This window comes from Homo sapiens, chromosome 17, assembly GCF_000001405.40.
Source record: "Homo sapiens chromosome 17, GRCh38.p14 Primary Assembly".
Taxonomy (NCBI): domain Eukaryota; kingdom Metazoa; phylum Chordata; class Mammalia; order Primates; family Hominidae; genus Homo; species Homo sapiens.
The window spans coordinates 18682402-18698911 of NC_000017.11; the positions used below are offsets into that span (position 1 = coordinate 18682402).

Sequence of the window (16510 nt, forward strand, 5' to 3'; positions counted from 1 at the left end):
AAGAGCTCCGTCCGTCTCGCGAGAGTATGAGGCAGCATCTCCTGTGTCTAATCCTCAGGGCAAGGGAGGGAGGGAGCAGCGGAGACGCGGACCGGAGTCAGGGTCCGTCCCCGCGCTTTGTCTGCACAAGTTCCTGTGGCACAGTGCTTAGGGCTGCTGAGTTCAACCCAAATTACTCCGGTGTAAGATACGTTAAAATACATAGCTTTTATCCATATTTTGTGCGCCCAGAACTCATCCTTTTGCTTTCAAAACATACGAAGGATGTTTTTAGGAAGAGCAGGTCCCTCTTTGTACACTCAGTCAGATGTTCCTGTATCCACAGACTACTTGTAATCCTAAAATTCATGTATTTAAAACGAGTTGAAAAGATTGAACCTGTTGTAACAAATTTAAGCAATAGGTTCTTTGCAGACATAAGCATTAGTTTAAACGTAGCATAAAAGGTGGTTCTTTCAAGGGAGGGTTATTCAGTCTCTCCAATTCTGTTAGAGGACTAACCCATCCACCTCCAGCTTCGTGTCTAGACTGCCCTCCTTTTCTCAGTGAATGACATTACTGCCCACTCACTCATTTGCACAAACCAGAGCCTGAATATTCTTAACTCTTTGATCTCACCATCTATTTATCACCAAGTCCTATTCATTATATCTTAAATAACTCAATTGTTTCCATCTTTCTCTATTCCCAGTAGCATTACCTTAGTTGGGGCCACCACCATTTCACTAGGATTGCCGTTGCAGCCTGGTAACTGGATTCCCTAACTAAGGTTTTCTCTACCACCAATCTGTTCTCGACACTTTCTGGCTAGTGCTCTTTCTAAAACAAGAATATGCTATTACTTTAGTGCTTCAAACCGTTCAGTGGCTTTTAGAAACTTCAAGGAAAGATGATTTCCAGCTCCCAGAAGGGATTTGTAACTCCCGTTATCTCAGCCACCTGGTAGTTACACCTTTGTGCAATCCCCTCTTGTGTATGGACTGGGACTTGCTTCTAACCAATACAGTGCAATAAAGGTGACATAAAAGTCTAACGTGTGTCTTGCTAGGAGACTCCTCTCTTGCTGGCTTTGATGAAGTGGTGGTGATGTTGGGGAGGCCCATATGACAAGGAACTGAGGATGGCCTCCAGCCAATAGCCTGCAAGAACCGAAGGCCCTTGGTCCCACAACCTGCAAGGAGCTGAACCCTTTGGACAGCTCTGTGTGCTTGGAAGTGAATCATTCTTTGTAGAGCCTTCCCATGAGAACCCTGTCTTGCCTGACATCTTGATAGCTGGCTGCAAAGGACTCACTTAAGCTGTGCTCAGACTCTCACCCATAGAAACTATGAGATAATAAACGTGTGCTATTTTGGACCACTGAGTATGTGGTCATATTGTTATGCAGGAAAATTTAATTCCACTTTCTAACATAAAAGAGGATCTTCTTTGTCAAAATCCAATCTGGGAATTGTCTGGAAGAGGGAAAATTGTTGGATTGAGCAACTATTGAAAAGTTGATTTGAAACCCACAGGAAGACAAATGGCTACAGTTGGTCCTAGGAGGTGTGTGGCCTGTACACGTACTTTTAAAAAGCTATCCTAAGAATGATAAAGGAGGATACAGGAAATATCAAGCAAGAACTTGTCATAAAAATAAAAACAACGAAACTGTGTGTCAAAATATGATGGTTAATACTAGATTGGATAGCAGAATGTGTAAAATTGAAAAGTGAATATCTAGAATATTCTAGTGAAGCTGCAATATCAGGCTAGGGAACTCTACACTTCCAGAAGATATCAGGAAGGGAGAAAAAGTTGAAAAATACGAAAGAAATATTAAGCAGTATGGAGCCTGACTAGACTTTATGAGAATCCAGAAGGAAAGAAAAACAGAGAGGAGGAACTATTTTAAGAAATAATCAAGAATTATGGAAAAATAAAAAATTAAAGACTTCATAGTGAAATTATTCATAGAGAGTCAAACAAAATTATGAAAAGACACCACATATTACGGTGAAATCTAACGAAGAAATTCTAAAGCCTTCCAGAAACAAAACATAGATCACCTACAAAAGAAAACAATCACAATTAAAAAAAATCCTCAGTGTTAAAAACAGTGCCTGGAATAGTACCAGGTAGTGTCAGATCTCCATCAGCCCGGACAGTGGGAACTAACTGGTGCATTCCCCACACTTACCTTCCAGTGGGTTGCTGATGAGAGAACCTGAAAAAACCTAAACCTCGGCCGGGTGCAGTGGCTCACGCCTGTAATCCCAGCACTTTGGGAGGCTGAGGCGGGCGGATCACAAGGTCAGGAGATCGAGACCATCCTGGCTAACATGGTGAAACCCCGTCTCTACTAAAAATACAAAATATTAGCCGGGCGTGGTGGCAGGCGCCTGTAGTCCCAGCTACTCGGAAGGCTGAGGCAGGAGAATGGCGTGAACCCGGGAGGCAGAGCTTGCAGTGAGCTGAGATCGCGCCACTGCACTCCAGCCTGGGGACAGAGTGAGACCCCGTCTCAAAAAAAAAAAAACAAAAAAAAAAACCCTACACCTCTACAGCAGGTCGAATTCATGACCTGAAGCTGAATACTTCCAGCATATTTTTCCCAGTAGATAGGAATAAAGTATCTTTGCAGTGCTCTGTTCCCTCCGTCTCCCCAAACATCTGACACCCTAAAAGCCATCCAGCAGCTATGGAGCCTGAGCGACACGTTGATTTGTGTTGTCACCTGACCAAGCCTAAAGACCTCCAGCTCAGTCCCCGACCTTCATCCCACCCCCCAGATGATAAAATTCAGACCTCTTTCCTGAAAGGCAGAGGTTAAACATTCAGGACTGTTTCTGGCCGAGGACTTCTTCCAATTAAAACCCCCACCGTGGGCTGTCTCCCCTCATTTCATTTTTCTAAAGGGGCAGAGGCCTCTTTTGGAAAATAATAAAATTCAATGTGTGTGATTTACTTTTCTGATCTCTTTGAGAAATACAGGAATATAAAAGTATGTTCTTAATTCCAGAACACTCTTTTTGCATAAATACCTCATTGGGCAGCTTTCTAACTGTGATTTTCCTGAGTCTCCCTTCGTTGGATCTGCCGGAAGACGAGTCAGGGAACCTTTAGTGAGGGTACTTCTTCCTATTTTTCTTCTGTTTTTGGAGGCATACACATTATGCATAACCAAAACAATGGCTCAATTGTGTTTAACTTTGTATTTTGATTGTTGAGAAGAATAAAAGGTATCAACGTGAAAAAAAAAAACAGTGCCTGGCATTTTGTGGCTTCTCAACAAATAATAATTAAATAAATAAATCTGATTTGTCAATAGCAGGACTGGTTACAAGAAGAAAATGTAATATTGATAAATAATATTTGTACATATTTATGGGGTACATGTGATATTTTGATACATGCATAGTACATATAATAATCAAGTCAGGGCATTTGGGATATCCATCACCTTCAACATTTATCATTTCTTTGTGTTGGGGAAATTTGAAATGTTCTTTTCTAGTGATTTTAAAATATACAATATATTGTTGTTAACTGCGTTATTAAAGATTCTTATTCTTTCTATCTAACTGTGTGTTTGTACCTGTTAATCAACCCCTTTTCATCACCCTCCACACCCTTCCCAGCCTCTGGTAATCATCATTCTATTCTCTACCTCCATAAGATGAACTTTGTTGGCTGCCACATGTGACTGAGAACATGCAGTACTTGTCTTTTTATGCCTGGCTTATTTCACTTAACATGATGACCTTCAGTTACATCCATCTTGCTGCAAATGATAGTATTTCATTTTTTATTATGGCCAAATAGTGTTGCATTATGTATATATACCACATTTTCTTTATCCAGTCATCCATTGATGGACACTTAAGTTGCTATTGTGAATATGGCTGCAATAAACATGGAAGTGCAGGTATCCCTGTGATATACTCATTTCCTTTCCTTTGGATAAACACTCAGTCATGGGATTGCTGAATCATATGGTAGTTCTATTTTCAGTTTTTAGGCCGGGTGTGGTGGCTCACGCCTATAATCCCAGCATTTTGGGAGGTTAAGATGGGTGGATCACTTGAGGTCACGAGTTCAAGACCAGCCTGGCCAATATGGTGAAACTCCATCTCTACTAAAAATACAAAAAAGAAAACATTGGCCAGGTGCAGTGGCTCACGTAATCCCAGCACTTTGGGAGGCCGAGGTGGGTGGATCACTTAAGGTCAGGAGTTTAAGATCAGCCTGACCAACGTGGCAAAACCCTGTCTCTACTAAAAATACAAAAATTAGCCAGGCATGGTGGCACATGCCTGTAATCCCAGCTACTCGGGAGGCTGAGGCAGGAGAATTGCTTGAACCCGGGAGGCGGAGGTTGCAGTGAGCCCAGATTGTGCCACTGCACTCCAGCCTGGGTGACAGAGTGAGACTCTGTCTCAAAATAATAATGATAATAAACAAACAAAAAACAGAACAAAAAAAAAACTATCTGGGCATAGTGGCGTGCACCTGTAATCGCAGCTACTCAGGAGGCTGAGGCAGGAGAATCGCTTGAACCTGGGAGGGGGAGGCTGCAGAGAGCCAAGATCATGCCACTGCACTCCAGCCTGGGAGATAGAGCGAGACTCCGTCTCAAAAGAAAAAAAAAGGCTGGGTGTGGTGGCTCACGCCTGTAATCCCAGCACTTTGGGAGGCTGAGGTAGGCGGATTACCTGAGGTCAGGAGTTTGAGACCAGCCTGGCCAACATGGTGAAACCCCATCTCTACTAAAAATACAAAAATTAGCCGGGCATGGTAGCACACACCTGTAATCCCAGCTACTCAGGAGGCTGAGGCAGGAGAATTGCTTGAGCCCAGGAGGCGGAGGTTGCAGTGAGCTGAGATCATGCCACTGCACTCCATCCTGGCCAACAGAGTGAGACTCTGTCTCAAAAAAAAAAAAAAAGAAAAGAAAAGAAAGAAAAAATAGTTTTGCTGTATATAGTACCCTGGGCTGATCAGCATAAAAAAATACACATTCACAACCATAAAAAATGGATGGGAGGTGGGGAAGAAACATAGGTGTGGGTTTTAATAAATTAGGTACAAGCACCAGGAGAATAAAAATAGGATGTAAAATATTCAAAGTGACTGGCCGGTGCATGGCTCACGCCTGTAATCCCAGCACTTTGGGAGGCCAAGGCAGGTGTATCACCTGAGGTTGGGAGTTTGAGACCAGCCTGACCAACATGCAGAAACCCCGTCTCTACTAAAAATGCAAAACTAGCCAGGCATGGTGTTGCATGCCTGTAATCCCAGCTACTTGGAAGGCTGAGACAGGAGAATCACTTGAACCTGGGAGGCAGAGGTTGCAGTGAGCCGAGATCGCGCCGTTGCACTCCGGCCTGGGCAACAAGAGCAAAACTCCATCTCAGAAAAAAAAAAAAAAAAAAAGAAAAGAAGTGATTATTCCATGGAAACTGAGAGAAGAGGAATAGAAGAAACAGAAAGTATGGAAAAGAGAAAACACAACCCTGTGTCAAAAAAAGAAAAGAAAACACAAAATAAGACCTATTATATAATTTATCACGATAAATGTAAATGGGTCAAACTTATCTATCAAAAGGCTGAGAATCTCCATTTGGATTAAAAACTAGTAAGTAGGGCCAGACACGGTGGCTCACGCCTGTAACCCCAGCACTTTGGGAGGCCGAGGAGGGTGGATCACAAGATCAAGAGATCAAGACCATCCTGGCCAACATAGTGAAACCCTGTCTCTACTAAAAATACAAAAATTAGCCAGGCATGGTGGTGGGCGCCTGTAGTCCCCAGCTACTCAGGAAGCTGAGGCAGGAGAATCACTTGAACCTGGGAGGTGGAGGTTGCAGTGAGCTGAGATGGTGCCACTGCACTCCAGCCTGGTGACAGAGCGAGACTCTATCTCAAAAAAAAAAAAAAAAAAAAAAAAAAAAAAAAACTAATAAGTAAAAAAAACAAAATGCAGCAATATTTTTTTTCAAAACGTACATTGGAATTCAAGCAAAACAAAAATATTAAAATCCAAGTTATTACTAAATATAAACCAGGCTAATATGAACAAAAAATAGCCAGATAACAATGTTATTATTAATAAAATTAAATTTGGTTGGGTGCAGTGGCTCACAACTGTAATCCCAGCACTTTGAGAGGCTGAGGTGGGAGGATCACAAGGTCAGGAGTTCGAGACCAGCCTGGCCAACATAGTGAAACCCCATCTCTACTAAAAATACAAAAATTAGCTGGGCGTGGTGGTGGGTGCCTATAGTCCCAGCTACTTGGGAGGCTGAGGCAGGAGAATTGCTTGAACCTGGGAGGCGGAGGTTGCAGTGAGCCGAGATTGCACCACTGCACTCCAGCCTAGGCAACAGAGCGAAACTCCATCTCAAAAAAAAAAAAAAAATTAAACTCAAGATTAAAAAAACATTATAATGGACAAAAAATGGACATTATTTTGTAAAATTTGAGAAGAGGTATGACCTATTGTATTTGACCTTATTTTTACTTTTTCTATTGTTCCTTCCTTGCTTCCTGATACTCCATGATACTTTCATTTATTATATTCTTTTTGTTTAGAGAAATTCCTTTAACCATTCCTTAAGGCTAAATCTGATAGCGACAAATTCTTGTAGTTTGCATACATTTGAGAATGATTGGATTTCCTTTTCATTCCTGAAGGATAATTTCACTGGATACAATTCACAGTTTGCAGTTCCTTTTCTTTTTTTCTTCGAGTTGACAGCACTTAAAGAATGTGTTATTTGTTTCTGGCCTTCATGATTTCAAACATGAAACCTGGTGTCATCAAATTGGTGTTCCCCTGGATGTAATGGAAACATTTCTGTCTGCTGCTGTTAATAGTTGTTTTATCTTTAGTTTGCAGCATTTTAATTATGATGTGTCTTGGTAGGAATTTATTTGACTTTATTTGGGGTTCGTTCAGCTTCTTGAATCTGTAAGTATATGTCTTTCATAATTTGGAACGTAAACCAGATTTGGGAAATTATATTCTGCTATTTCTTTAAATATTCTCAGTCCTACTCTTTTTTTTCTCTCCTGGGACTCTGATGTTAAGATTCCTGGATCTTGTGTCATTGTCCCAAAGAAAGGTCCAGAGGCTGTGTTCATTTATTTTTAGTCCATTTTCTTTTTGTTGTTCAGACTGGGTAAATTACAGTGATCTCTCCTCAAGTTCCCTGGTTCTATTATTTGTCATCTCCACTCTACTATCAAGCCCATCCAGTGAGTTTTAAATATTTTAGTAATTGTATATTTTTAATTTCATAATTTTATTTTGGTTCTTTTTTTATAACGTATTTCTTTGCTAAGATTTTTTATTTTTTCATCAGTTTTAAGAAAATTTGTGGCCGGGCGCGGTGGCTCACGCCTGTAATCCCAGCACTTTGGGAGGCCGAGGCGGGCGGATCACGAGGTCAGGAGATCGAGACCATCCTGGCTAACACGGTGAAACCCCGTCTCTACTAAAAATACAAAAAATTAGCCGGGCGTGGTGGCGGGCGCCTGTAGTCCCAGCTACTCGGGAGGCTGAGGCAGGAGAATGGCGTGAACCCGGGAGGCGGAGCTTGCAGTGAGCCGAGATCGCGCCACTGCACTCCAGCCTGGGCGACAGAGCGAGACTCCGTCTCAAAAAAAAAAAAAAAAAAAAAAAAAAAAAAAAAAAAAAAAAAAAAAAAAAAAAAAGAAAATTTGTAATTTCTTACTGAAACTGTTTTTTATGAGGGTTTACCTCATGACAAGATGATTCCAGAATCTGATTCTTCTCAGTATAAGCATTAGTTGATTGTCTTTTGTCTTTCAAGTTGTGATATTCCTATTTCTTGGGATGATGGGTAATTTTGGATTGATTTCTGGATATTAAGACACTTTGGGTTCTATTTAAATCTTTCATTTTTTAGAAGATTTATTTAGGTTTAGTATATAGTATACAGGCCTTGGTCTACTTTTTGTGGTGGGCTGTGCTTCCAGTGACTATTTAGTCTTCAGAACCTTTGTGTCACTATTTTGGTCCGCTCTGGGTTATCTACTGATCCCTGCTGGTGTTGCCTGAATGAGTGGAAAGAGGTTGCCCAGTCTGGGCCAAGGTGGGGAAAGGGAATCTTCAGTCCATATGGAAGTAGAGTGCTTCCTGTGTGGAGTCCTCTATCTCTATACGGTGGGATTTCCACCTGCCTGTACTAACCAACCACCTGGTGTCTCTAGGGGTGTGTGTGTGTGTGTGTGTGTGTGTGTGTGTGTGTGTCTGTGTGTCTGTGTGTTTCGGGTGGGAGAATAGGAATTCCCAGGTCTGATTGGGCTTCTGATTGCTGTGGCAGGTCCCCTGTGATGGTACTGCCCAACCACCTGTTGCTCTAGATGGGAGAGGAGAGTCTCAGGCCTGATGGGATCCCCTCTGGCTGCTTATGGTTAGTGGGGTTTCCAATCAATCCCTCCAGGCTTACCTGGTGTTGTTAGTGGGGCCCTTGTTCCACAGGGGGAGGAATAAGTCTACGTGGGCCATCTTCTATTGCTAGGCTTGGAGTTATAAGATGCCCCACTAACATGATGTTCCTCCAGTCCTGGGGTCCCTGTCTACCCAGTCCAATTTCCTTTTCCTACCTGTCAGAGTTCTTGTTTGTTATTTCTAGTGTTCATAGTAATCAGCAGGAAGGAACGAGGAAAAATAAATCTACAACACCTTGTCTGGACACATTATAAACTTATAAAAGGAATGTGAGATCAAGAAGGTATAACGACTGAAAGAAAAATCAATAACTATAGTCGGAAAATTTTACATAATCCTCTGAAAAACCAATATATCAAGAAGATAAAAGGAAGGAGAGCTTTAGGAGTTTCAATAACAGGATTATGAATCTCAAGATAATAGGTCTACATGCAACTTTACATGCAACAAACAGAGAATATACATTCTTTTCTAGCACGCATGCATTATTCAGGGAAGTTGACCATATGCTAAAATACAGATGATTCTTCAGTGAGATTTAAAATAATTCACATGCATCAATACCACTATATATAGAGAGAAATATAATGTAAGCCACATATGTAATTTTAATTTTTAGTCGCTCTATTTTTTTTTTTTTTTTGAGACGGAGTCTCGCTCTGTCACCTGGGCTGGAGTGCAGTGGCATGATCTCGGCTCACTGCAAGCTCCGCCTCCCAGGTTGTTGACATTCTCCTGCCTCAGCCTCCCGAGTAGCTGGGACTACAGGCACCCGCCACCACGCCTGGCTAATTTTTTCTATTTTTTAGTAGAGACGGTGTTTCACTGTGTTAGCCAGGATGGTCTCGATCTCCTGCCCTCATGATCCACCCGCCTCGGCCTCCCAAAGTGCTGGGATTACAGGCGTGAGCCACCGCGCCCGGCCTAGTTGCTCTATTTTAAAAACTTTTAAAAGAGGTGAAATTAATTACATAAACATATTTGTTTAACCCAACATATCCAATATATTTTATTTTAGCTTGTAATCAATATCAAACTTATCAATAAGATACTTTATATTGTTTGCACTGTCTTCATAATTTGGAGGTGTTTTTTTACACTTACAATGCTTCTCAATTCAGACTAGGCACACTTCAAGTGGTTGGTACACACATGGCTATATTGGCTGCCATTTTGGACAGCACAGATCTATTGCTCTTTGAAGATATGCAATAAAATTAGAAATCAAAAAGAAAAGAGAGCTCAAACTTTTTCTGAATATTAAAAACAAAAATAAAGAAAACCCCACAATACTAAGTAAATTTGGGGTTAAAGAGAAAATAGTGTAAGAAGTTACAAAATAGTTAAACCTGAATCACAAGTTATTCAGAAATGTTAGAGTACGTCTAGAAGAGTATTTAGAAAATATTTATAATTTAAATACATTTAAGAAAAATTGGAAACAAGTGAGCTAAGAAGTTTATTCAAGGAGCAGGTTAAACCAAAGGAATACGAAATACAGAAATAATAAATGCTCAAAAATCAAGGAAGTCATGTACACAAAAACCAATAAAAAGACTATTGAAAGCAAAAGCTGGGCTGGGCGTGGTGTCTCACACCTGTAATCCCAGCACTTTGGGAGGCTGAAGTGGGTGGATCACCTGAGGTCAGGAGTTCAAGACCAGCCTGACCAACATAGTGAAACCCCATCTCTACTAAAAATACAAAAATTAGCCGGGCATGGTGGCATATGCCTGTAATCCCAGCTACACAGGAGGCTGAGGCAGGAGAATCGCTTGGACCTGGGAGGCAGAGGTTGCAGTGAGCTGAGATCATGCAACTGCACTCCAGCCTGGATGACAGAGCAAGACTCCATCTTCAGAGCGAGACTCCATCTTAAAACAAACAAAGATAAAAGCTGGTTTAATGAATAGATTAATAAGATACACAAACTTCAAATAAGAATGATGAATTTAAGAGAGCAGATGAAGTTATACAACTGCAGATTGGATAAACAGAAAGAGAGGCACAATGGACATTATTAAGCACCAATACATTTGAAAGCATAGATGAAGTAGATAAGTTTAGGAAAATATGAAATAAATAAAAAGGTACAAAATGAAATTGGAAACTTCAATAGCTCAATTACCATAAAAGAAATTAAAATGTGGGGCACACTCCAAATTCTACCAAACTTTCAATGAACTGATCTTCTCTATCTTATATAAAAGGTGTTCTAAAACAACTCAGAGGAATAAAAAGAGATAAAGCGGCCAGATTTATTTTAGTAATTTAATATAAACTTGGTTCTTAAAATGGATAAAGATAATACAAGGAATAAAAATGAAAATTATGAGCCAATTTTACTTACGGACATAAGTACAAAACCTAAATAAAATATTAGCCAACTGACAACTGAATTTTTCTTTTTTTTTTTTGAGACGGAGTCTCTTGGCTCACTGCAGACTCTGCTCCCCGGCTTCATGCCATTCTCCTGCCTCAGCCTCCCGAGTAGCTGGGACTACAGGCGCCCGCCACCTCGCCCGGCTAATTTTTTGTATTTTTAGTAGAGACGGGGTTTCACCGTGTTAGCCAGGATGGTCTCGATCTCCTGACCTCGTGATCCGCCTGCCTCGGCATCCCAAAGTGCTGGGATTACAAAGGCGTGAGCCACCGCGCCCGGCCTCTTTTTTTTTTTTTTTTTGAAACAGAGTCTCATACTGTTGCCCAGGCTGGAGTGCAGTGCCACGATCTCCGCTCACTGCAAGCTCTGCCTCCCAGGTTCATGCCATTCTCCTGCCTCAGCCTCCTGAGTAGCTGGGACTACAGGCGCCTGCCACTATGCCCGGCTAATTTTTTTTTTTTTTTTTTTTTTTTGTATTTTTAGTAGAGACGGGGTTTCACTGTGTTAGCCAGGATGGTCTTGATCTCCTGACCTTGTGATCCACCCGCCTTGGCCTCTCAAAGTGCTGGGATTACATGTGTGAGCCACTGCGCCTGGCCAGCCAACTGAATTTTTTTTTTTTTTTTTTTTTTGAGACGGAGTCTCACTCTGTCACCCAGGCTGGAGTGCAATGGCGTGATCTCGACTCACTGCAACCGCTGCTTCCCGGATTCAAGCAATTCTCCTGCCTCAGCCTTCCGAGTAGCTGGGATTACAGGCGCCAGCCACTATTCCCAGCTAATTTTTCTATTTTTAGTAGAGATGGGTTTTACCACGTTAGTCAGGCTGGTCTTGAACTCCTGACCTCAGGTGATCCACCTGTCTTGGCCTCCCAAAGTGCTGGGATTATAGGCGTGAGCCACTGCACCCGGCCAGCCAACTGAATTTAACCTATATCATGATCAAGTTGATTTTAACATCAGAAAATCTAGATATGAAATTTGCTACATTAATGGATTCTTAAGGAAAAGTAAAACCAAATAACTAACTCAATAGAAATCATTGATAACATTCAATATCTGTTCATAATTAGGTTAAAAGTTAATTTCTTAATTTAGATTAAGGAAAGTTTATAACAAAGAAAGAGCTGGAAATAGAGCAAGATGGCTGACTAGAGATGTATGGATCTTGCTCCCGCTCCTCCTATCCAGGAAGGACCAAGGCGATGAATAAACAGGTAAAACAGCTAAAATTTTACTGAAATGTTGAAGGGAAAGCACTGGAGTGCAGTGGGGGACTGCAGAGGCAGCTGAGGTGATTGGAAATCCAGGAGAGCAGTGCAGAGTTACCCAGCCTCTGCAGCCCCATCTGCTCCACCCAGCTTCAATCAGCCTGGAGACAGGAGGGACTTCCCCTTACAGGAAAAGGGTAAGCAGAACAACTCCACCAGCCCCCATTGCCTTACCCACAGTCCTTACTACAGGAGAATGCCACAGTCCTTGAAAGCCCTGAGCCTAGTTTTGAGAGCTGTCTGAAATTCTTGCTACCACACTGCTCCGGATTAGGAACAGAAAGTGTGTGCTCCCAACCTCCACTCACCCACTGTGAGTCAAGCTGTGGCATCAGCAGCACTGTGCCATCTTGAGACTACAGCCACCTCTGGAGTGCACCGTCCTATGGAGTCAGTAGCCACTGCACCTCTGCAGCATCAGGGCTCCATCTTCTTTCTACAAATCTCACAAGGGTGGCTAAACTCCATAATCCCACTATGCATAGATTGGGCTTAGGATCAACTGTGATTCTGGTCCTGCGCAACAGAGAAGACGACCCCAACCATCTGCACTTTGAGACAGAGGAACTATGTGGCAATCCCACCCAGGGCAAATATGCTCTTGAGCCAGCCAAACTGCTGACCACCCTCCACAAAGCAGGAGAGGTCCTTGAGCCACTAAGCAGCTGACATGCTGCCCTATCAGCAGAATGTCTATACTCCTGTGCCCACAGCCTGAGAAACAACCCTGTGGTACCCACTCCCATTGTTGACATGCCCCTGTCCTACCCAAAGCCCCCACACCCGTGATCAGGGCCTGTGATGCAGCATCGTGGCTCACTTCCTGCAGACATGCCCTTCAGGCTGGCTGGCCAGCTGTCCAACCACATCCCAGGCCTGAGAAACAATCCCACAGGGTGCCCCTGGAAGGCACACTCTAAGGCTGATCCAGTAGCTGTACCCCCACATTGCCAGCCTGAAAAAGCCTTTCAGGCCACCCCTGGCCAACCAAGAAGCTATAAGCCCACATCCTGAACCTGAGAAAAACCCTGTGGGCCATGCTTAGCAGACATGCACCCAGGCCAGCTGAGAAGCCATGTGTCCATGTTCAGGGCCTGAGAAACAGCTTCACAGGCTGCCCCAGGCAGACACCCCCCCAGGTCAGCTGAGCAGTGTGCCTCCATCCCAGGCCTGAGAAACAGTCCCATGGGCCACTCCAGGACACACATCTCCCGGCCAGCCAAGCAGCTTTGTGCCTTTGTTGCAAGCCTAAATAACAGCTCCACAGGCTTCGCCTAGAAGACATGTTCCCAGGACAGCCAAGCAGCTGTGCTCCTGTGTCCAGGGTCTGAGAAACAGTGCCACAGGCCATCACTGGCAGGCACCCTCTAGGCTGGCCAAGCAACAATGCATTCGTGTCCCCACCCAGAGTTAACAGTCCCATAGCCCCAACCCCAGTGAGCCAAACCCCAAGTTGGCTGACCCACCATGTACACAAATGAGCCCCTGACTTGAGAAACAGCCCTGTGCAAAAGCCACATGACCGCCATCACCACCTCTTAGCCTAGGCCACTGAGACATTCACAAATGTCACTAGCATTTTTTTTTTTTTGAGACCGAGTCTTTTCTCTGTTACCCAGGCTAGAGTGCAGTGGCATGATCTCGGCTCACTGCAACCTCCGTCTCCTGGATTCTAGTGATTCTCCTGCCTCAGCCTCCCGAGTAGCTGGGATTACAGGTGCCTGCCACTGCTCCTGGCTAATTTTTGTATTTTTAATAGAGATGGGGTTTCACCATCTTGGCCAGGCTGCTCTCGAACTTCTGACCTCATGATCCACCTGCCTCAGCCTCCCAAAGGATTGGGATTACAGGAGTGAACCACTGCGCCCAGCCCGTCACTAGCATGTATTACAGCTGAAGAAACTTACATAGGGAATACACTACCGCATCCACCTAGAACGAAAGCCAACACACTCCATTGAAACAATACCCCAAGACCCATATGAATAAATCTTTCCCTACAGAACCTACTCCATGAAATTGGAAGAGGTGATTGTTTCATCATATGTGTATAAATCAATGTAGAGCTGGGTGCAGTGGCTCACGCCTGTAATCCCAGCACTTTGGGAGGCTGAGATGGGCAGATCACTTGAGTTCATTCAGGAGTTCCAGACCAGCCTGGCCAAAATGGTGAAACCCTGTCTCTACTAAAGATACAAAAGTTAGCCTGGCATAGCAGCACATGCCTGTAATCTCAGCTATTCTGGAGGCTGTGGGAGGAGAATCCCTTGAACGCAGGAGGCAGAGGTTGCCATGAGCCAAGATCTCACCACTGCACTCCAGCCGACAGAGCAAGACTCTTGTCAAAAAAAAAGAAAGAAAAGAAAGAAAAAGAAAGACAGACATAAAGAAAAATGTAGAAACACATGAAACATGAAAAAGCAAGGAGCACAACACCTCCAGAAGAACACAATAATTTCCAGTAACAGATGCCAATCATAAGAAAAAATACAAAGTTCTGGCTGGGCGCGGTGGCTCACGCCTGTAATCCCGGCACTTTGGGAGGCTGAGGCGAGCGGATCATGAGGTCAGGAGATCAAGACCATCCTGGCTAACACGGTGAAATGCTGTCTCTACTAAAAATACAAAAAAAAAAAAAAAAAAAAAAATTAGCTGGGTGTGGTGGTGGGCGCCTGTAGTCCCAGCTACTCAGGAAGCTGAGGCAGGAGAATGGCGTGAACCCGGGAGGCAGAACTTGCAGTGAGCCTAGATGATCGCGCCACTGCACTCCAGCCTGGGCGACAGAACGAGACTCTGTCTCAAAAAAAAAGAAAAAAAGAAAATATACAAAGTTCCAGAAAAAGAATTTAAAATAATAATCTTAAGGAAACAGTGGAATTCAAGAGCATACAGTTACACAATTCAATGAAATCAAGAAAATTCATAATTTGAATGAGAAATTTAACAGAGATATAAAAAAGAACCACACAGAAAACTTGGAACTGAAGAATCCAATGAATTACATGAAAAATACAATCAAGACTCTAACAACAGACTAGATCAAGCATAAGAAACAATTTTTGGGCCAGGCGTGGTGGCTGACGCCTGTAATCCCAGCACTTTGGGAGGCCAAGGTGAGTGGATCACCTGAGGTCAGGAGTTCGAGGTCAGCCTATCCAATATGGTGAAACCCTGATCTCTACTAAAATTATAAAAAAATTAGTTGGGCATGGTGGCGGGCGCCAGTAATCCCAGCTACTCGGGAGTCTGAGGAGGAGAATCGCTTGAACCCGGGAGGCGGAGGTTGCAGTGAGCCGAGATCGCGCCACTGCACTCGTCTGACGACAGAGCGAGACTGCGTCTCAAAGAAAAAAAATTTCTGCTCTATAACTTCACTTTTAACATTGTTTAGTTTTTTTGTTTTGTTTTTGTTTCGAGAGAGAATCTCGCTCTGTCGCCCGGGCCGCTCCGGACTACATTTCCCAGGAGCCTCGGCGCGCACTTCCGCTTCTGGCCCCTTTCTCTGGAGGAGCTCCGCGCGTGGCGAGTCTGTGTCCTCCCTGTCCCCCAGAGCAGAGAACCCTCTCTGTGTCTGGACGGGGGAGGAGCAGACGCTGGACAGGGTGTGTGTGTTCAGCAGTGGATTGTCAGACTTGGGGTCCCGGCTGCTCCCTTTTGGGTCTCTCCCCGGGCCCGCTGATCTGACTGTAATTCCTTCTGCTGGAGCTAGGGTTCGGCCACCTTGACGCGCCCCCTCTGCCCCCGGAGCGTGTCTTTGGGTTTTGTGTGTGTGGGAGTGGGGTGTATGTGTGTTTCTTATCCGAGACACCTCCGGGTCGTTTGCTTGGAAACCGGCTGAGGGCCCGCACAGCCTGGAGCATTTGGTTGGAAAGTGAGGCAGGTAGCGCCCAAGGCTCCTGTACCAGGGCCAGGTTAGGCACCAACGCGTCCCTTATGTCTCTGCAGCCTGCAGTGCGGTGGAACCGTTTTATAGACTGACAGTGTGAACGTGGGAGGGGATGGATATCAGAGACCCGTTTATCCACATTTTCAGAGAGTGGTATTGCTCCGATGTGAGTGTAGGCAGGTTACTCTCTGTGTCTCGTGTTCTTTACCTGTAATTTGAGGTTTGTTGTACCTACTTTTAAGTGGTGGTTGTGAGGATTAAATGGAATTTTGACATGCAACAGTTGACACAGGGCCAGACACCAAGTAAGGGATCAATCAGTTGTTGCTTTTATTAATAGTAGGCATCCATCTGCCCACTTGTACGTAAGAAGGAAACACCCAAGAATGAAAAGTAGCTTGTTGTAGGTCACCCAGCCAACTAGCACATAGGGGAAATTAGAATCCAGGCACTCCCAGCAGGGCACTTTCCACCACCCTGCACTTTTGTATTCATCAGGCACAATATCCTTAC

At 43.8% G+C, this 16510-nt stretch overlaps 1 pseudogene across 6 annotated transcripts in view, besides 2 other annotated features; it reads left to right on the top strand.

The window, feature by feature from the left end:
• Positions 15518-15577: a silencer, noted in NCBI's record as "silent region_8279". NCBI's record gives its function as "represses an Ori minimal core promoter by ATAC-STARR-seq in GM12878 lymphoblastoid cells {active_cell/tissue: GM12878}" and the evidence as "EXISTENCE:reporter gene assay evidence [ECO:0000049][PMID:35858748]".
• TRIM16L (tripartite motif containing 16 like (pseudogene)) overlaps positions 15597-16510 on the top strand; it is a 38115-nt pseudogene continuing 37201 nt past the window's right edge. For all 6 annotated transcript variants that reach the window (NR_172637.1, NR_172634.1, NR_172638.1 and 3 more), the window contains exon 1: positions 15597-15713. The product of NR_172637.1 is annotated as a tripartite motif containing 16 like (pseudogene), transcript variant 3 (transcript). The remainder of the gene's footprint in view (positions 15714-16510) is intronic.
• Positions 15765-16322: an enhancer, noted in NCBI's record as "H3K27ac-H3K4me1 hESC enhancer chr17:18601479-18602036 (GRCh37/hg19 assembly coordinates)". NCBI's record gives its function as "activates a minimal SCP1, AML or CMV promoter by ChIP-STARR-seq in primed H9 embryonic stem cells {active_cell/tissue: H9 hESC(primed)}" and the evidence as "EXISTENCE:reporter gene assay evidence [ECO:0000049][PMID:30033119]".